Here is a 22182-nt window from a genome sequence, read left to right as displayed (position 1 = left end):
TAAAAGAAGCACGATTGGAAAATTGGTGACAAGGAAATTCAGGAAAGAGGTACGTGGATGGACACCTCTGAGTGGTCAAAAACTGTGAAGACATTTGTATTCCGTGTGAGTGCTCACCAACTGATGACCTCAGCTGAGGAGGATTTTAATAATCAAGTGGAAAGGATGCCCCGTTCTGTGGACACCACTCAGCCTCTTTCCCCAGCCACCCCTGTCATCACCAATGGGCCCATGAATAAAGTGGCCATGGTGGCAGGGATGGAGGTTACGCATGGGCCCAGGAACATGGACTTCCACTGACCATGGCTGACCTGGTTATGGCTACTGCTGAGTGCCCAATTTGCCAGCAGCAGAGACCAACACTGAGCCCTCAATATGGCACCATTCCTTGGGGTGATCAGCCAGCTACCTGATGGCAGATTGATTATACTGGACCTCTTCCATCATGGAAAGGGCAGAGGTTTGTCCTTACTGGAATAGACACTTACTCTGGATATGGGTTTGCCTATCCTAAAAGCAATGCTTCTGCCAAGACATCATCTGTGGACTCACGGAATGCCTTATCCACCATCATGTTGTTCCACACAGCATTGCCTCTGACCAAAGCACTCACTTTATGGCTAAAGAAGTGCAGCATGGGGCTCATGCTCCTGGAATCTACTGGTCTTACCATGTTTCCCCATCATCCTGAAGCAGCTGGATTGATAAAACCGTAGAATTGCCTTTTGAAGTCACAATTACAACACGAACTAGGTGACAATACTTTACTAGGCTGAGGCAAAGTTCTCCAGAAGGTGTGTATGCTCTGAATCAGCATTCAATATATGGTACTGTTTCTCCCATAGCCAGGATTCATGGTTCCAGGAACCAAGGGGTGGAAGTGGAAGTGGCACCACTCACCATCACCCCTAGTGATCCACCAGCAAAATTCTTGCTTCCTGTTCCCACAACATTGATCCTGCTGGCCTAGAGGTCTTAGTTCCAGAGGGAGGAACGCTGCCATCAAGAGACACAACAATGATTCCATTAAACTGAAAGTTAAGATTGCCACTTGGACACTTTGGGCTCCTCCTACCTTTAAGTCAACAGGCTAAGAAGGGAGTTACAGTCTTGGCTGGGGTGATTGGCCCAGACTATCAAGATGAAATCAGTCTACTACTCCACAATGGAGGTAGCAAAGAGTATGCATGACTACAGGAGATCCACTAGGATGTCTCTTAGTATTGCCATGCCCTGTGATTAAGGTCATTGGGAAATTACAACATCACAGTCTGGGCAGGACTGCATATGGCCCAGACCCTTCAGGAATGAAGGTTTGGGTCACTCCACCAGGAAAAAATCCACAACCTGCTGAGGTACTTGCTGAAGGCAAAGGGACTACAGAATAGATAGAACAAGGTAGTAATCAATACCAGCTACAACCACATGACCAGCTGCAGAAACGAGGACTGTAATTGTCATGGGTATTCCCTCCTTCTTTTGTTAAAACCATGGTTGTACATGTATACACTGTACTAAGAATATACCTTCGTTTTATTTCCTTTTTCCCTTATCATGTGATATAAGGATTTACTGACTTCACATCAACATTTAAGTATTGTTAACTTTATGTAATAGTATTTGAGTTGGGGACTGATGCATTTCTGGTTGTACGAAGGATAGTTGTTTTATGTTAGGCATAATTATGACCTTATTATTGTCTTTATTTGAAGATTATGTATGATCTCAGCAGATATGTATGGGTTCAAGTTGACAAGGCGGGGACTTGTGATGGTTAATACTGTCAACTTGACTGAATTGAAGGATGCAAAGTATTGATCCTGGGTGTGTCTGTGAAGGTGTTGCCAAAGGAGATTAACATTTGAGTCAGTGGGCTGGGAAAGACAGACCCACCCTTAATCTGGGTGGGCAACATCTAATCAGCTCCTAGTGTAGCTAGGATATAAAGCAGGCAGAAAAATGTGAAAAGACCAGACTGGCCTAGCCTCCCAGCCTACATCTTTCTCCATGCTGGATGCTTCCTGCCCTCTAACATCAGACTCCAAGTTCTTCAGTTTTGGGACTCGGACTGGCTCTCCGTGCTCCTTAGTTTGCAGACAGCCTATTGTGGGACCTTGTGATCGTGTGAGTTAATACTTAATAAACTCCCCATATATATCTTATTAGTTCTATCCTTCTAAAGAAAAAAAAAAAAAAATATATATATATATATATATATACACATCCTATTAGTTCTATCCCTCTGGAGAGCTCTGACTAATACAGTGCTCATCAGGATAAAAGCTTTCTGATTTTGCCAAGTTCAAAGAACTCTAAGCTATCATAAGGTATCTCAAGTCCAGTAACAACTCTTCCATTCGTCTTTAATTTCTCCCTCCTTGCACCTTCAACCTTGCCAGTTAGCAAACTAGGGAAAAAGTAAGGGAAAAAGTAAGAGGAAAAAGTAAGAGGGAAAAAGTAAGAGGAAAAGATTTACGAACGGCCACACACCACCACCATTACAACCCCTTCCACACTGCAAATGTCTAGCCCAAAGAAGTCCTCAGCTGAGGGTTAGGTGAAAATTTAACTTCATGTTAAATGTGGAGCATTTGTGTTACATAAAGCTGGACATATTTAATTACTGATTTGAGATTGTGTTTTGCAACCAGAGTAAACACACACTTGACTAATAATTTCATGAAGCCTGAATGAATTATCACCCTAGGGTAAGGGTTGAATTACCTCCACTGAGCAGCTTTAAGAGTCAGTAGGTCACATAAATAAAGTTGTTATTATGATTACACCTCACTGTTCTAGTTGTTCAAAATACTAGTTTACTGGTACATTGTATTGTATATGGTATTTTTTACTTCCCAACAAAATAACAAGAATCAGACCAACAGCAATTATTGCTATCCTCTAAGACATTAAAACAATGCCTGTAAAATTCTGGTGAAAAATTAATTTAAAACTAGAACTCTAATTCCAGCAAAATATCAACTCAGTGTAAGGTAGAACAAGAATATTTCAGATGTATGAACTTAGATCATTTATCTCCATTGGCCCTTTTTGAAAATTACTCAAGGAGATAATCTAGGAAAACAGAAAAAGCAATCTATGAAGGAAAATATGAGAATACATAACAGGGGCAGCTGAGTGTAAGCCAATGAAGTAGAAGAGAGCGACTGTTTATAAAAGAGAAATCTTTAAATACAGTCCTATGCACTTCAGGTATTCTCCTTCCTCCTCTACAGTTCTAGTTAAATTTGCAATGTCTGCAATAAATTACATTTACTTAAACATAATCCATTTAAAGGCTGTTTATGGGATTAAATGTTAGTATTAATTTACAGACATAGCATAGAAAATAGAATTAAGACTATAGAACAAATGTAAATGTTATCAATTATGACAACATACATAATAATATAATTCAAATCAAGTCAGTAAAGTGCTCTAAATGCCTCTTTGTTACGGCGGAGTCAATAGATATCATGTGAAGTGAATTATTAAAAAAATAGAAACAGAACTCAGTCATTTGTTATAATAATAACAACAAGAAAATTAAGAGAAATACTAGTAAAAATGATTACTCAGTGAAGGTGAGAAGGATTCACCTTATTTTACACTTTAGCCCTTTAATATGACCTATGTTTTCTACCATGCTGTAGGTATTACGTTAAATATCAGAATGCAACACCATAAAATAATATACTATGCATAAATATGCAATGTACTTTTCCTATATTTTAGTATCTTTTTGTCCCATAAAAAGTCAACCTTGCATTATTAATCTAAACTCTTATAAGCAGTAAGCACTGAGTGAATGAATCAACAAATCACTTCTAAGTATGACTTACTACCTGAAAGACAATACTTATACCGTTAGAAGATGAAAATGTTTCTGATGACAATCACCTCCATCATTCCAAAAATCCTTAAATCTGATGTGAGTCTACCTCACATACGATAATCTATAATTATGATAGAAAAACAACAAAACACTAATCTGAAAAAGCACAAGATTATAATAAAAAGCTTATTATAACAAAAAAGTGATTAGTTTTTATTTTATTGTATAAATATTTTATACATTGGATTCTGGTATTGTATAAATATTTTATATTTATACAAATTTATAAATTTTATATTTTATATTTATACAAATTTATAAAAATTCATTGTATAAATATTTTATACAATACCAGAATCCAATGCATGTTTTAGAGAGAAAAAAAATTATTGGCATTACCTAAGTAAATGCTATTATTTGAATTCATACAAATCTATTCTTCTTCTAGAATTACTAAGAAGCTATTATAATTGTAAATATTTTTATTTTAAAATAAGTGCCAGATATTTTAGAACTCTAAGGTAACAACTGCCTTACAAGAAAATCCATTACCTGAGCTAGACTTTTATGTAATTTTCAAAACAATAAACTAAACTCTTCACAGGTTTTATGTAATTTTCTTCATTTTTGATCTCTTTGACCAACCATTTTTAATACCATTTTCTTTAATCACTGGCAAAGATTTAAACTACCAGTCTGATTACAAAGTGAAGGTACTCAAGATATAAAGAGATTGTTAAACGGAGCATAATGCTATTTCATTCTACCTTTAAAGAGACTAAGTAAAGTCTGACGTTACATTTTGAGAAAAGATATAACAAGATATGACCTGGGAGTGATTTCTTTTAGACAGAGGTAGTTTCAAGCAGAAAAGTTAGCAGGTGAGCAGACATGATCATGATTATGTTGGGATAGGTGGCAGAGTGATCCACTGAGCTGTCTCTGCTACTAATAAGCCTGTGTCCCTGAATTAACTACTTACTAGTAACATTTGGATACCTCCACTGTCCATGTATAAACCAAGCAGCCCGGAATATATAACCTCTAAATTCCTTTTCCGGTAAAATAATGATACCATATGAGTGAATGGATCTAAAGATCTGAGAGTTAAGTATGACTTAATGCAAACAAAAACAAATATCATACCTTTGTATTGCCTTTCATCTTTGTTTTACATTTGTTTTGTTCCCTGGCTTCACGAAGACCTTTCTGAGTAGGACCTTCTGGTGCATTTTCTTTTTCACGACTATGATCAACTACAAGATAATATAATTTATTCTTAATATTTGCACTGTTTATCGGTATAAAATGATTGCAACCAAAAATATGAAAACCAAAACCTCAATGATGCATGTATTTTTAAAAAATTCATTAAATTATTGATACCCAAACCATACCAAATGCTTTATGTGTGGTCTCAAAATTCAGTTCCCAAAAATGCAGAGATGCATTACTACAAGGTTAATTAAATACATGGTGAGCCAGTTACAGAGCACAGTTATGACATATCCAAATTCCTGTTATCACAAGGCTTTGTGTGTTTATAAACAGAGTTAAAGATGGTGGAGGAGAGAATGACAAGAAATGACAAAACTTCCCACATGAAACTAGATAATAAATATTTTTATTATAAAAAGAATATTGTATTAATAAAATATTATTGTCTATGCTTCACTATGTTAAGGACAAAAAGGAAAAACACAGGGTAATATTCAAAATAGTTGTAACATTGGTCTCCTACTTCTCATGGACATAATGAGCAGTCTTAATGGAATCATTTGAGAGTGGGGAATTGACAGAAAAAGTCTCTCACATTTTTCTACATATAATACATACACATATATAAGTACACATATTTCCACTTGTATTTCTAAACAGTAAGTTGATTGCAAAAAACTAAGGTTATAATCACTAACACAAATAAACAACTAAACGTTACAAATTATAACACCAGATTTATAATAGAGAAAAGATGATGAACAAAGAAATGTCTGGATGATTTCAATGACAAGGCTCTCTTAAGAAATCCTGAGATTATAAAGGCAGGGAAGAAAATGGCTGGCATTTATTTTATTTTATTTTCTGACTAATTTTTTCTATTCGATACCAGTTCTAGACAAAGGAGAAAATCCTCAAAATAACTCCCACAATAACGTTAAAAAATGTTCCATAACCCCACGTTACATGAAAGTACTTGAGAGACCTGGGTGTCCAAACTGCCTGTCCTCCCCGAAGGTGCTAAGCTAGAGTCCCACAGCATCTAGGATACTGAAGTCTAGAGGAAAGGCAACAATTACAGCTTGTTGAGATTAAGGGAAAATATTTACTTCTGCTTCTCTTTTATTATATTTTCCCCTTCAAATTCCAGGGGTGTCAACCTGATAATAATTAAAAACAATAACTAACATTCATGCCTCATTGATCTTTTACTATTATAATGTCCACTATTCTAAACAACTCATAGGTACAATTTTATGCAATTATGTAAATAATCTTGTGAAGGTCACACTACCTTTTGTTCCCATTGTATATGAGAAGGGGAATGCATATAGTAATATCAGAGGAAAGAAAAGAGAAATCAGTAGGGAGAGAAACTCAAGAATCCAACAGATAATTCCAGGAATATAAGCAGATCTCATGTAGCATGCAAGACATTGCTAAAGGCCACTTCATCAAAGAAATAAAATTAAAAAGCAAGTAAACAAACAAATATGGTAGTAATTACAAAAGTGGAAAATCCAAAAGGGCATGGTTTATGTGTATACATTGTTGCTCTACAAACAAAATGGAAAATACACACTTTAATAAAATTTTAGGACAGTATTCAACATTTAAAACCAAAACTTAGGAATAAACATTGCAGAATGTACAGGGTACTGGCAGAAAAAAAAATGTTTTTCAAGTATTTCTCAATGTAGCGAGAATAAATATGATTTCCACTCTCCAGCAAATAAGCATCACTTTTACTTACACAAAAATTTACAGAACAAATGAAAGGCACAGACAATAAAGTCTGTATCACATTCAGTGTTAAATGCATGTAATTCTCAGATTCCATATAGCACTTCTCAATGTTGAGTAATATCCCAGCAAAGTCTTTGTCTCTATCATAGCTTCTCATGGCTGTCATCTAATGCTTATTAATGACAAAGGCTATGGTACCAACAGGTACTGTGCAGTTTTCCAAATTTTACTTAGGTAAAGTCAACATTTTAAGGCATGCATACTTTCTTGAGATAAAACAAACAGCAAATAAACAAACACACTTTCATTTATAGAAATTCTATTTATTGTACCTTCCAGTGCTAAATTTTACCCACTCAATTGTTCCTTCATGTGTGTACACATTTAATCAATGTTAACATGTTCAGGCTCTTGGATAAATATCAGAAAGACATAAATACCATAATTTAACAAATATTTATTGAGCACTTACTTTGTGCCACTCCCTAACTTCATGCCACTCCCTAACTTCCTTATAGACCAAACAAAACTGAAAAGAGAATTTTTTAACTGAAAAAGGTTTTGAAGAAATTGTCTATAATTTACCCTAGAGAAACAGAAAATGTCTAAGAGATTAGGACACATGTAAACTAAAATGAGGAGATTGGTTAGATCTATGTAATTAGAATTCAGAAAAAGAAATAGAGTTAAATAAGAAGATGTTATATTTGAAAAAAGTATTAATTAGACCATATAGTCTAATAATTACATGAATTTGGCATCTCATAATGCAATTCTGAGCAGCAACAAAACACGAACTTAAAAAGCAGCAATTAATTAAACTATAAGAAATAATGAGTACTTGCTCTACTATTAATTTTGAAGTACTAACTTAAGAGCTACTTTGCTTTACTATATATGACATTTATTTCCTCTTTAAAGCTCTGAAGTCAGCTTTCACAATTTTTCACTTCACCAAGCATTTACAATTTCTAGAAGGTCATCCGGAATTAATAATTTCCTATACATTATAAGATATACTAAAATGCAATTATATGTATCATTATGATCTGGTTTAAAAATAGGCATTACTGCACTGAAATTGCAACCTTAGCAAACAAAAACAACTAATAAAAGGATGACAATCAAAACCAGTAGATTTCATAAGCTTTTTGAAATTAATTTGAAAAAAAAATTTATCTCATAATATGTAATACTAAAAAGTGCTTTCTGTATAGTGTCATGTAAATATTCGATACATATGACCCTTGATAAAAATAAAAACATAATCTGTAATTTTCAGTTTAAATATCTACTCAATAATAATTATTTCATAGTTTCTCCCAGAAATTTTTCTACTTTTGACCTACCATAAAGAATAAATGTAAAATTGAAAACTCTTTTCAGATCAGATTAGGTAATAAAGCATTAATATTATCTTTGTATGGCAGCAATTACGGGGTGATTCTTTAAAATATATTTTATCATTGTCTGAATTTTCTATAATAAACGTCACTTTGGTAGTCAAAAAAGTATGTTTAAAATACTTTGCTAACTTTGCTCCAAATCATTCCAATTTGCATCTTATTCCCTAAATTTAGATTAAATAACAATTAATGTGTCTTCTTCCCAAAGTTTAGAGTAAATGACAATCAATTTGTTGTTTTCTAACTTCAAAGTAAATAATGTTTAATTTGAAGAATCTCTATTGACATGCCAACTTCTGCCGAAAATAAATGGATAGATGGATGGGTGGATGAATGGGTAAATGAGAGAGAGAGGGAAGTATTTTTAAAACTAAACTTAAATGAGCAAGTAAAGCGGGAGGAAGTAACATGAAAATATGAAGAATGACAGGAATTATGAAGAACAACCACTTAACCAATAAATCGTCTTTTCTTTTCTTTTTTTTTTTTTTTTTTTTTTGAGACACGGTCTTGCTGTGTTGCCAGGCTGGAATGCAGTGGTGCGATCTCGGCTCACTGCAACCTCCTGGTTCAAGTGATTCTCTTGTCTCAGCCTCCCAAGTAGCTGGGATTACAGGCACGCACCATCATGCCTAGCTAATTTTTGTATTTTTAGTAGACGGGGTTTTACCATGTTGGCCAGGATGGTCTTGATTTCCTGACCTCGTGATCCGCCTGCGTCGGCTTCCCAAAGAGCCGGGATTACAGGCGTGAGCCACCACGCACAGCCTCTTTTCAAATTACAGTCCCTAAGTAGGATACCAAGTTTTAGCAACTGGAGACGTGACAGAGTCTAAGGGACCACAGACAAATGCTGAGATCAGAAGCTTAGGGAAAAGTGCTTCAAGTTCTGTATCTAAAACTAGAGTGTATGTTTACAAAGAGCATAAAATTATTCAGTACAGGATTTAAATAACTACTTTTGATTAGATAGTTGGGATACATAACTAAAAGAAACTATTTCCCCATGTTGGGTCAGAATTTCTTTTGACTAAAAGCCATTTCAAAATATCACAGATCAAATACAAGTTTAATCTCCAAAGTACATTGTAAACATCACTCAAGAAAAACATGCAATATGTTCTTGTATGAATTAGACTAAACACCAGGAGATAATTTCATAAGGGAGTTATCTGTCAGGCATCAGTTTATTTTAATTGATATGTCAAGGATAAATATATAAAATTTAAACCATTAGAGTAGAATGAATCGTTAGAGATTAATTGGTGCAAACATCAACCCAATTCACAAAGTCCCTCAACCTTTAAGCTTTCTTACATATATTCTTTTTCAGACTATTTAGTCATTTTTGGAGTTACAGTTCATGAAATTATGATAATTTCAAACCATCATTTAATATTTATATCTGATTACATTCTTCTTATCTTAATATGAAAACAATTTTTGAAGTTGACAGAAATGTACACTCTTTGTAAAATATGCAATAAAGAAAAGGGTAGGAAGTAGTCACATAACACAGAGAAAATTATGTTAAAATCCTGGTATACACCTTCTGATATTTTTTCTTTGCATATATTCAACAGGCATACATTTGTACCATATAAATGTTTTTACTTCTTAACATTAAAACATAAGTATTTCTTATGCATGAGTTTTAGACTTTTTATTATTGTAGGATCCACTATAAACATTCACTGGTGGTTAAAAAGTGAGATTGCTTGTATTGTTGTGTTACTTTTATGACTGCAATAAACATCCTTGTGCATAGTCCCTTAGGAATCACTGTGCATAACTGATACTACTTTAACATAAAATATTAGAAAAGTAGGAAGGAGGAAGGGATGAATACGCAAAGCACAAAAGGTTTTTAGGGCAGTGATACTACTCTGTATGACACTATAATGTTGGATACACGTCATAAATGTGTTGAATTCCACAGAACGTACAACATCAAAAGTGAACCCTAATGTAAACTATGGACTTCGGTGATATTAATGTCATGGACACTCATCAGTTTTTACAACTGTATCAATCTGGTAGGGGATGCTGATAATAGGGGAAGCTATGTCTGGGGGCAGGTGGTATATGGGTGGGGGCAGGTGGTATATGGAAAATCACTGTACCTTCCACTCAATTTTGCTATAAACCTAAAACTGCTCTAAAAAATAAAGTTTATCCTTTTTAAAAAATGAATTCAGCTCACAAGACAGAGGCAGTGACCAGGTCCTAAGGACATCATCCTTCTGGATCTAGTCATGTCTGAGAATACTGTCTGTGCCTTCTAGCTATCTGAGCCAAAAAAAAAAATCCTCTTTGCCTAAAAGTAAACACAGGTATACTTAAATTTATGCATTTTATTGTAGGTAAATTATGCACTGTAATTGTACAGATAGGTGTGTTTTGACAAATATAAACAGGCATGTAACTACCACCAAAATTAAGATATAAAACATTTCCACCACACCTCAATTTATTTTCCTTTATTTTACATACCTTATAAACATTACCTTATGACACCATAATTTTATTTTAATCAGTCACTTTTCTTCTGAGGAAATTAGAAAAGGAAAACATATTTCTCATTTTAACCAGAATTTAACATTTTTAATTCTCTGTATTCAATTGTGGTAGATATTAATTTCCTTCTGGCAAATATACTTTTTTGACCAAAGAAACTTCTTTAGTATTTCCTGCTGTACAGATAGGCTTGCAAAAAATCTCCGAGCTTGCCTGCATCTTAAAATGTCTACATTTTATCTAAATTTTAAAGGATATTTTTATTGGATACACAATTCTGAATTAAAATTGTTTCCACACTTTAAAAATACCATTTTATTGTTTCTAGCCTCCAGTATTTCCTATGAGAAATCAGCCTGTATTTGTATTATTGCTTTCAAGATTTTCTCGCGCAGTATGGCCATTATCATGATATTGATTCTTCCTATCCATGAGCATGGAATGTTCTTCCATTTGTTTGTGTCCTCTTTTACTTCATTGAGCAGTGGTTTGTAGTTCTCCTTGAAGACGTCCTTCACATCCTTTGTAAGTTGGATTCTTAGGTATTTTATTCTCTTTGAAGCAACTGTGAATGGGATTTGACTCATGATTTGGCTCTCTGTTTGTGTTATTGGTGTATAAGAATACTTGTGATTTTTGCACATTGATTTTGTATCCTGAGACTTTGCTGAAGTTGCTTATCAGCTTAAGGAGATTTTGGGCTGAGATGATGGGGTTTTCTAAATATACAATCATGTCATCTGCAAACAGGGACAATTTGACTTCTTCTTTTCCTAACTGAATACCCTTTATTTCTTTTTCCTGACTAATTGCCCTGGCCAGAACTTCCAACACTATGTTGAATAGGAGTGGTGAGAGAGGGCATCCCTGTCTTGTGCCAGTTTTCAAAGGGAATGCTTCCAGTTTTTGCCCATTCAGTATGATATTGGCTGTGGGTTTGTCATAAATAGCTCTTATTATTTTGAGATAAGTCCCATCAATAACGAATTTTTGAGAGTTTTTAGCATGAAGTGTATAGATTCAATGCCATCGCCATCAAGCTACCAATGACATTCTTCACAGAACTGGAAAAAACTACTTTAAAGTTCATATGGATCCAAAAAAGAGCCTACATAGCCAAGACAATCCTAAGCAAAAAGAACAAAGCTGGAGGCATCACACTACCTGACTTCAAACTATACTACAAGGCTACAGTAACCAAAACAGCATGGTACTGGTACCAAAACAGAGATATAGACCAATGGAACAGAACAGAGCCCTCAGAAATAATGCCACACATCTACAACTATCTGATCTTTGACAAACCTGACAAAAACAAGCAATGGGGAAAGGATTCCCTATTTAATAAGTGGTGCTGGGAAAACTGGCTAGCCATATGTAGAAAGCTGAAACTGGATCCCTTCCTCACACCTTATACAAAAATTAATTCAAGATGGATTAAAGACTTAAATGTTAGACCTAAAACCATAAAAACCCTAGAAGAAAACCTAGGCAATACCATTCAGGACATAGGCATGGGCAAGGACTTCATGTCTAAAACACCAAAAGCAATGGCAACAAAAGCCAAAATTGACAAATGGGATCTAATTAAACTGAAGAGCTTCTGCACAGCAAAAGAAACTACCGTCAGAGTGAACAGGCAACCTACAGAATGGGAGAAAATTTTTGCAATCTACTCATCTGACAAAGGGCTAATATCCAGAATCTACAAAGAACTCAAACCAATTTACAAGAAAAAAACAAACAACCCCATCAACAAGTGGGTGAAGGATATGAACAGACACTTCTCAAAAGAAGACATTTATGCAGCCAACAGACACATGAAAAAATGCTCATCACACTGGCCATCAGAGAAATGCAAATCAAACCACAATGAGATACCATCTCACACCAGTTAGAATGGCGATCATTAAAAAGTCAGGAAACAACAGGTGCTGGAGAGGATGTGGAGAAATAGGAACACTTTTACACTGCTGGTGGGACTGTAAACTAGTTCAGCCATTATGAAAGACAGTGTGGCAATTCCTCAAAGATCTTGAACTAGAAATACCATTTGACCCAGCGATCCCATTACTGGGTATATACCCAAAGGATTATAAATCATGCTGCTGTAAAGACACATGCACACATTATGTTTATTGCGGCACTATTCACAATAGCAAAGACTTGGAACCAACCCAAATGTCCATCAATGATAGACTGGATTAAGAAAATGTGGGACATATACACCATGGAATACTATGCAACCATAAAAAAGGATGAGTTCATGTCCTTTGTAGGGACATGGATGAAACTGGAAACCATCGTTCTCAGCCAACTATCTCAAGGACAGACAACCAAACACTGCATGTTCTCACTCACAGGTGGGAATTGAACAATGAGAACACTTGGACACAGGAAGGGGAACATCACACACCGGGGCCTGTCATGGGGTAGGGGGAATGGGGAGGGATACCATTAGGAGATATATCTAATGTAAATGATGAGTTAATGGGTGCAGCACACCAATATGGCACATGTATACGTATGTAACAAACCTGTATGTTGTGCACCTGTATCCTAGAACTTAAAGTATAATTAAAAAAAAAAGATTCTATTGCATGTAAAAACCACATTTTGCTTATCCATTCATCTATCAATGGACACTTGGTGATATGGTTTGGGCTGTGTCCCCACCCAAATCTCATCTTGAATTGTAGCTCCCATAATCCCCATGTGTCAAGGGAGGGACCAGGTGGGAGGTATTTGAATCATGGAGGCGGGTTTTCCCATGCTGTTCTCATGATAGTGAATAAATCTCACAAGATCTGATGGTTTTATAAAGGGCAGTTCCTCTGCAAACTCTCTCTTGCCTGCTGCCATCTAAGAGGTGCCTTTGCTCCTCCTTTGCCTTCCACCATTATTGTGAGGCCTCCCCAGCTATGTGGAACTGTGAGTCCATTATACCTCTTTTTCTTTTTCTTTATAAATTAAAAAAAAAAGATTTTCTCACTTCAATTTTCAACAATTTCAACACATTGTGTTCAGGAGTGGTTCTCTTTATGTGTATGATTAGTTCTTTTCTTAGGTGTTTAAGTTTATACTTTACATGAATTTGGGGAAATTTGGGGCCATCATTTGTTTAAGTATTTTTATGCTCCATTTTCATTCTCTTCTTTGGGACTTTAATTTTATATATGTTAAATAGGCAAGTTTTCCTTTAATCTTTTATCTTTCTTCTTTTTTTTTTTTTTTTTTGAGACGGAGTCTCGCTCTGTCGCCCAGGCTGGAGTGCAGTGGCGGGATCTCGGCTCACTGCAAGCTCCGCCTCCCGGGTTCACACCATTCTCCTGCCTCAGCCTCCCAAGTAGCTGGGACTACAGGCGCCCGCCACTACGCCCAGCTAATTTTTTGTATTTTTAGTAGAGACGGGGTTTCACCGTTTTAGCCGGGATGGTCTCGATCTCCTGACCTCGTGATCCGCCCGCCTCAGCCTCCCAAAGTGCTGGGATTACAGGCGTGAGCCACCGTGCCCGGCCTATCTTTCTTCTTTAGACTAGATGCCTTTATGGATCTCTCTTGAAATTTACTGACACTTCTGTCATCTCTAATTTGTTATGAAGTACATTAAATAAAATTTTTGATTGGGCGCAGTGGCTCATGCCTGTAATCCCAGCATGTTGGGAGGCTGAGGCAGGCGGATCACTTCAAGACAGGAGTTCAAGACCAGCCTGGCCAACATGGTGAAGCCCCAGCTCTACTAAAAATACAAAAATTAGCCAGTCATGGTGGCACATGCCTGTAGTCCCAGCTACTGGAGAGGCTGAGGCACCAGAATCACTTGAACCTGGGAGGTGGAGGCTGCAGTGAGCTGAGATCATGCCACTGCACTCCAGCCTGGGTGACACAGCAAGACTCTGTCTCAAAAAAAAAAAAAATTCATTTTAGTTATTCTACTTTTCAGCTGTAGAACTTCAATTTGCTTTGGAATGTATGCTTGTTCTCATTTCTTTGCTTAAATTCCCCATCTGTTCACTTATTAGTATTTTCCATTAAGTCCTTGAACATAATCAAAGTATCTACTTTAGCACTTTCTATCTGCTAAATGCAACAGTTTAGCTACTTAAGGGTAGGTTTCCATTTATTGCTTGTTGTCTTGATTATGGGTCACATTTTCCTGTTCCTATTCATATCTAGAAATGTTTAATTATGTACTAGGCAATGTGGGTAAAAGATTGTAAAGACTCTGGATGACTGTCTTCCTCAAAAGGATGTCATTTTTTGTTCTAGAAGGCAGTTCCATTTTTGGCTGATGACCCTAAAATCCTAGGCTTAATTTTATGCTTCGTTAGGGTGGATCCATGGAAAGCCCTAAATGTTTCTCAAGGCCCTATAACTTGGCAAGACTCAAACTCCAAATTCTGTGTCCTCTCTAAGAATGCTGTGTAAGCTTTGTTCCTGGTTTTATAAGGCGGATATGGGATGCTGAATGTTACTGTGTTGTTAACAAGGTGTGAAAGAGGTCTTTCCACCCAGGCATGGCCAGATTTGCAATGTTTCGCATCACTACTTAACTTCTACAATCTCTGGCCTCCTCTTGATCCTATATAATTGTATCTCTCTTGTAAGTGTCAGGTAGTGTTGTTATGTATAGTATTGCAGCCTCAGCTAAGGACTCATAGTAAACTCCCTCACAAACTGAGCCACTCCTCATTGCAGCTCTCTTCTCTGGTGTCTTTCCCTACAGATTCCAGTGGCTTCAAAAGCTGTGAACTAGGGTCTCTGACATTTCCAATTATCAGGATTGTCATGCTCTTATTGGCTTCCATCTCCACAAAGCTCAGTTTGGAACTTTCCACAGACCCAAAGCCATGGTGATGGCAGAGCTCACCTTATAAATTTTCCTTCTGTCAATTGCCTTCTGTTACTTGAGCTGTCTGTTTTCTACTGCCTAAAAGTAGTTGTCTGATCTTACAGCTTAGCTTTAGAGTTATTTACACAGAGAAGGCTAGTCTGGTACCAGGTATAATGACCAGAAGCAGAAGTCCTTCCATTATAGTTGACTTGTTTTTCTCTATAATTAATCCATACAGTATGATATCTATATTTCTTCTTAATCTTTTTATTAAAATTTTAATTTGTGAAATAGCCACCACTTACTCACCTTTAAATATCTCTAGAATATTAATCACTGATAAGGTTGAGAAATCACCAAACTATATTAAATGAGAGCTTCATCACATTTTACATTTACCTTTAATTTGAGGACCATGGTAACTATGTCCTCTTTGCAGTTTCTTCAATGTTTCTTGAAGTCCAGAAATCTAAAAAGTAAAATTCAAAGAAATGAAATTATACACTAAATGACTTTTAAAAAGGTTACATAAAACACAATATTTAAATATCCATTGTAAAATATAAAAAATATTAATCTCTTTTAAATTTATACCTTTTTTAATAAAACATAAATTTTAACAAAAGAAAAACAGAATTTTAAGTTAAAATATAATTCCACCAGCTAATTATTAATTACTTATTTTAGGTAAGCATCTGAAACATTTATTTCACGGCATAGTTTCCTGAATTAAGAATACTCATTGTACACTTTAATAATTATTCAATTCTCTATTTTGAGAGAGGTTTTTCCTCTGTTCAAATTGTTTCACAATAACTATCATCTTTATATTTATAAAATACAAGGTAATTATCACTTGGAATGTAAAATATGAAGAGGTTGTTTTTATTCCCCCAACTCTTAGCTCATTTTCCACCCACATATATTCTCTATTTTATTAAACATGTCTTATAACTAAGAACTTTTGTTAGCTTTGGTGTCATGATTTACCTGTATTCCTGAAAAATACTTAATTTAAAATTTGACCTTGAAAAGCTATTTCATCTTGCATTGTATATGATTATACCAACACAAAATACCATCTGTTCAATTACATACAGATACACACTTTTTTCTACTATCACTGAATAGTAATATTTCTTTATTAATAGAAAATAACATAATTTATTAATTATAACCTATAGATGAGTGCTCATGAAATGCCTAGGTTAAAAAAAAGTAAAAGATTACTATCTATTCCTAGAAGCCAAAAGAATTATAAATTTCAAAAATAAACTTTTTATTTAGAATAGCATAAGATTAACAGGAGAGTTGCTAATGTAGTACTGAGAATTCCTGTTTTATCCCATACCCTTTTTCCCCCATTAACATCATACATTGTAATGATACATTTTTCACAAATAATGAACCAATATTGATATATTATTATGAACTACAGGCCATATTTTTAGTTTTATTAATTTTTCCATAATATCCTTTTTATGTTTCAAAATCGCATCCAGAATATCACCTTACAACTAGTTTTTAGGTCTCCTAAGCCTCCTCTGGACTGAGACAGTTTCTCAGACTGATATAGTTTGGATATTTGTCCTCTCCAAATCTCTTGTTGAAAAGTGATCCCCAGTGTTGGAGGTGGGGCCTAGGGGGAAGTGTTTGGGTCATGGAGGCAGATCTCTCTGCAGATGCTGGTGCTATACTTCTTCTACAGCCTGCAGAACCATGCGCCAAATAAACCTCTTTTCCTTATAAATTACCCAGTCTCGGGTATTCCTTTATAGCAACACAAGATGGACTAATACACAGATTTTCCCTGATTTTAATGTCCTTGACAATTTTGGGGAGCATTAGTCTGACAGTATTTTACAGAATAGCCCTAGATTTGAGGTTGTCTGATATTTTCCCCATGGTTAGACTAAAGTTATGGATTTGCAAGAAGATCACAGGGGAGTGCCATTATTAGCATATTACATCATAGGTTCATGCTACCAACAGTACTTAAAACTGATGATGTTCACCTTGATCCTTTGGTTACATGATGAGAAGGTTGACAGGTTTCCCCACTGTAAAGTTACTTTCTTCCCTATTTCCCTTGCATTTCTGGATGCAAGTCATTATTTACAAAGTGCAGCCAACACTCAACAGCTGAGTTGTTAAGCTCCACCTACTTGAGGGAAGGATTATCAACATATATTACTCGAGATTCTTCTGTATGGGAGATTTGTCTACTCTCTCACATGTCCTTACTAATCATTTATATTTATACCATTAAGGAATCAAAGATATTTATTTTATATTTTGGGTTATAATCAAACACTACATTATTTTGTTGCTCAAATTGTTTCAGAAGGTTTGATCACTGGAAGCTCTTTCAGGTTGGATTCCTATAATGAGGAACCTGACTTTATTGTTTGATGTTTGAGTGTCAACAGCCTTTAAGTTTTACCTCCTCCTTCTTCCCTTGTGCCCAACATCTGGGCAACTGGACAAGAATGCCTGGGTACTCCCTTGTCTGGTACTGATGGGAGATTCAAATGACTCAAGCCTCACCTCACATATGAGAATTCTCACCCTGGCCCTAACCCCCAACCGCAATAAAAACCCCAAGCCAGTCTCCCTTACTTGCTCTCTCAAGCCATTTCAGAAATGCTTGGGAGGTAATGTGCAGCTCTCCTCAGCAAATTCAGTTCCACAAGTAGTGAATTTATTCACAGCCTCTGTGTGTGTGTGTGTGTGTGTGTGTGTGTGTGTGTGTGTGGCATTATCAGTCTGAATATCCAAATCAAATTTAGTTGGGGATCCACCAACCTCTGCAGGTGCCCACTACAGTTCCTTTGTCATAACTTGACATATCCCATTATTATGTTGAGTTTTTTTTTCTTTTCTGTTCTACTTTTTGAGCATTTCCTTCCTTTCTAGCACAAGAAAATGTCCCAAGTGCTCCAGGCCTATCTAGTATTTTATCTGCCCAGCTCTAGAATCAGACACTTCTCCAAAGAACCCTGTTTCCTTTCCTTTTATTACAGAGTGATATTAGAAATCAAGATCCTAACACTGGATATGTTCATTACTGGTGGAGTGTCACTACTTCTAGACTCTCCAAGCAGACAGACCTAAAATATATATATATATTTAGATTTAGTTTTTAGTATACATATATATATATATACACACACACACACATACATACATATTCTGAGTTAGAATCCCATGATCTAAAAAAGATAAAATATAATTTAGTATACATAGATACCTACAAATCAATTCTATTTCACCTTTTCTTGGGTCATGGAGCTCTAATTCAAAATTCTGAACACTATTTTCAATAATTTCTTAAAACCAAAAACAAAGTTATAGGTTTTTCATTACATTTTAAATAAATGTTGATTCACTGTCTAGTATCTACTAAAGAAATTTGAAAACATGTATTTCCTATCGGATTTTTGTCATCCCACAGTGTGTTTTCACTCTTTCATATGCAAACTAGATAATAATCAAAAATTTTAAATTATTATACAATCCTTCTTTATGCAAGGTATAGGTTTAAGGAGAAACACAGTAAGCTAAATGCTCATTAAGATAAAGTTTTTAAGGAAGTAACAATCAGGAATCCAGCTAGAAAACATAAGATGTCTTACTGCTCTTAACTCACATCCTAAAGTTTGGTTGGAAATGAATTCTCAAAGCGTAACTGCATCAAACGTTGAAATAAAGAAATATTCAAAATATAAGCACAAAAGTAACCTATCTTCTATTTTACATTATAGAGAAACATTTCACATATTTTAAGATATTTTCTCTGTACACATACTTTGAATAAATTCATTCTATAGCTCCATGACACACTACTAATATGTTCAATTTCAAAGGCTAATCTATGCCTGTACACCCAGGATATACCTGATTAGTATGCTACAACAGAAAGAAAGGATTGGTTGGCAATAAATCATTCTTTGTAAGAAGGGTACACAAACAGTTTCCATTCTTTAAGTGGTAACCTTGACTTGTTCCACAAGGACACACCTGGAGAGCTGACAGGACTAGGACTATATTCTGTGCCCTAATTTGGAGAGTAGGTTAATTGAGCCTTGGTTTAGACTTGTATAATGGATATTTGACAGTCGCTTTGGCCACTTAGCAGTTTGGGTTTAGAGAATCATGTGTCTTCCACCTTTTGCAATAGATATCAGATATTTACACAGCTTGTCCTATAACTAGGACTTGCATTGGCTCCATCAATCCTGTGTACCCATTTTGGATTCTGAACAAAATTTAGTGATATAAGGAACAATGTAGAATTTGGAATTTATCCTGAGAATGGTGGCTGCCACATCCAGTTTCCATTGACAAGTATAACAAAATTCTGAAAGAGTATCAAGTATTCAGTATTAGCATTGTCCATGGTAAAACCTGTGGTGACAGCTCAGTGGCAGCAATAGCACCTCCTATTTAAATTTGACTTTCTCAAATTGTAGTGAATCTACCACCTTCAACAGCAGATTTGGTTGAGAGAGAAAAGCTATTTATAAATCCTAACTTCTCCATTTTATTTATTTTTTTCAATGTTATCTTAAGAGTGGGACTAACTGTTCCATATTAGATATCAAGAAATTAGCTCTTTAGAATTTTCAAATTAAGGTCGTTTCCAAGATGGCTGAATAGGAACAGCTCCCGTCTGCAGCTCCCAGTGTGATCAACACAGAAGACAGATTTCTGCATTTCCAACTGAGGTGCTGGTTCATCCCATTGGGAGTGGTTGGACAGTGGGTGCAGCCCACGGAGGGCAAGCTGAAGCAGGGCAGGGCGTTGCCTCACCCAGGAGTGCAAGGGGTTGGGGGATTTGCCTTTCCTAGCCAAGGGAAGCCATAACAGACTGTACCTGGAAAAACGAGGCACTTCTGTCCAAATACTGCACTTTTCCCATGGTCTTAGCAACTGGCAGACCAGGAGATTTTCTCCCGTGCCTGGCTCAGCAGGTCCGACGCCCACAGAGCCTTGCTCACTGCTAGCACTGTAGTCTGAGATTGACCTGCGAGGCTGCAGCCTGGTGGGAGGAGGGGCGTCTGCCATTGCTGAGGCTTCAGTAGGTAAACAAAGCAGCTGGGAAGCTCAAACTGGAGGAGCCCACCGCAGCTCAGCAAGGCCTACTGCCTCTATAGACTCCATCTCTGTGGGCAGGGCATAGCTGAACAAAAGGCAGCAGAAACTTCTGCAGACTTAAACCCCATGTCTGACAGCTCTGAAGAAAGCAGTGGTTCTCCCAGCATGGCATTCGAGCTCTGAGAATGGATGGACTGCCTCCTCAAGTGGGTCCCTGATCCCCATGCAGCCTGACTGGGAGACACCTCCCAGTAGGGGCCGACTGATACCTCATATAGGCAGGTGCCCCTCTGGGACAAAGCTTCTAGAAGAAGGATCAGGCAGCAATATTTGCTGCTCTGCAATATTTGCTGTTCTACAGCCTCTGCTGGTGATAGCGAGGCAAACAGGGTCTGGAGTGGACCTCCAGCAAACCCCAACAGACCTGCAGCTAAGGGGCCTGACTGTTAGAAGGAAAACTAACAAACAGAAATAGCATAAACTTCAAAAAAAGGACACCCACATCAAAACCCCATCTGAAGGTCACTAACATCAAACACCAAAGGTAGATAAAACCACAAAGATGGAGAGAAACAAGAGCAGAAAAGTGGAAAATTCTAAAAACCAGAGTGCCTCTTCTCCTCCAAAGGATCACAACTCCTCACCAGCAATGGAACAAAACTGGATGGAGAATGACTTTGATGAGTTGACAAAAGTAGGCTTCAGAAGGTCGGTAATAACAAACTTCTCCAAGCTAAAGGAGCGTGGTCTAACCCATCGCAAGGAAGCTAAAAACCTTGAAAAAAGGTTAGATGAATGGCTAACTATAATAAACAGTACAGAGAAGACCTTAAATGACCTGATGGAGCTGAAAACCACAGCACGAAAACGTTGTGATGCATGCACAAGCTTCAGTAACCAATTCAATCAAGTGGAAGAAAGGATATCAGTGATTGAAGATCGACTTAATGAAATAAAGTGAGAAGACAAGATTAGAGAAAAAGAGTAAAAAGAAATGAACAAAGCCTCCAAGAAATATGGCACTATGTGAAAAGACCAAATCTACATTTGATTGGTGTACCTGAAAGTGATGGGGAGAATGGAACCAAGTTAGAAAACACTCTTCAGGATATTATCCAGGAGAACTTCCCCAACCTAGCAAGGCAGGCCAACATTCAAATTCAGGAAATACAGAGAACACCATAAAGGTACTCCCCAAGAAGAGTAACCCTAAGACACATAATCGTCAGATTCACCAAGGTTGAAATGAAGGAAAAAATGTTAAGGGCCGCCAGAGAGAGAGGGCAGGTTACATAAAAGGGGAAGCTCATCAGACTAACAGCAGATCTCTCGGCAGAAACCCTACAAGCCAGAAGAGAGTGGGGGCCAATATTCGACACTCTTAAAGGAAAGAATTTTCAACCCAGAATTTCATATCTAGCCAAACTAAGTTTCATAAGTGAAGGAGAAATAAAATCCTTCACAGACAAGCAAATGCTAAGGGGTTTTGTTACTACCAGGCCTGCCTTACAAGAGCTCCTGAAGGAAGC

General features: G+C 36.4%; 1 protein-coding gene across 23 annotated transcripts in view; it reads right to left on the bottom strand.

Moving 5' to 3' along the window:
- SPAG16 (sperm associated antigen 16) overlaps nucleotides 1–22182 on the bottom strand; it is a 1126038-nt gene that overhangs the window by 1030401 nt on the left and 73455 nt on the right. For 21 of the 23 annotated variants that reach the window (NR_047659.2, NR_047660.2, XM_011511814.2 and 18 more), the window contains 2 exons: nucleotides 15956–16025; nucleotides 4982–5091 (listed from right to left, as the gene is read on the bottom strand). Coding sequence is in view for 21 of the 23 variants with exons in the window: in XM_011511814.2 (XP_011510116.1) it covers nucleotides 4982–5091; nucleotides 15956–16025 (180 nt within the window). In the remaining 2 variants the exon portion in view is untranslated. Of the gene's footprint in view, nucleotides 1–3905; nucleotides 3957–4981; nucleotides 5092–7101; nucleotides 11288–15955; nucleotides 16026–22182 lie in introns of those variants that run through there. The other 2 variants (XM_006712746.4, XM_017004899.3) reach the window with 2 other exon arrangements.

The sequence above is a fragment of the Homo sapiens genome, chromosome 2, assembly GCF_000001405.40.
Source record: "Homo sapiens chromosome 2, GRCh38.p14 Primary Assembly".
NCBI lineage: Eukaryota > Metazoa > Chordata > Mammalia > Primates > Hominidae > Homo > Homo sapiens.
The sequence above is the reverse complement of the archived record's forward strand: the minus strand, read 5'-3'. Positions and strand labels throughout refer to the sequence as shown.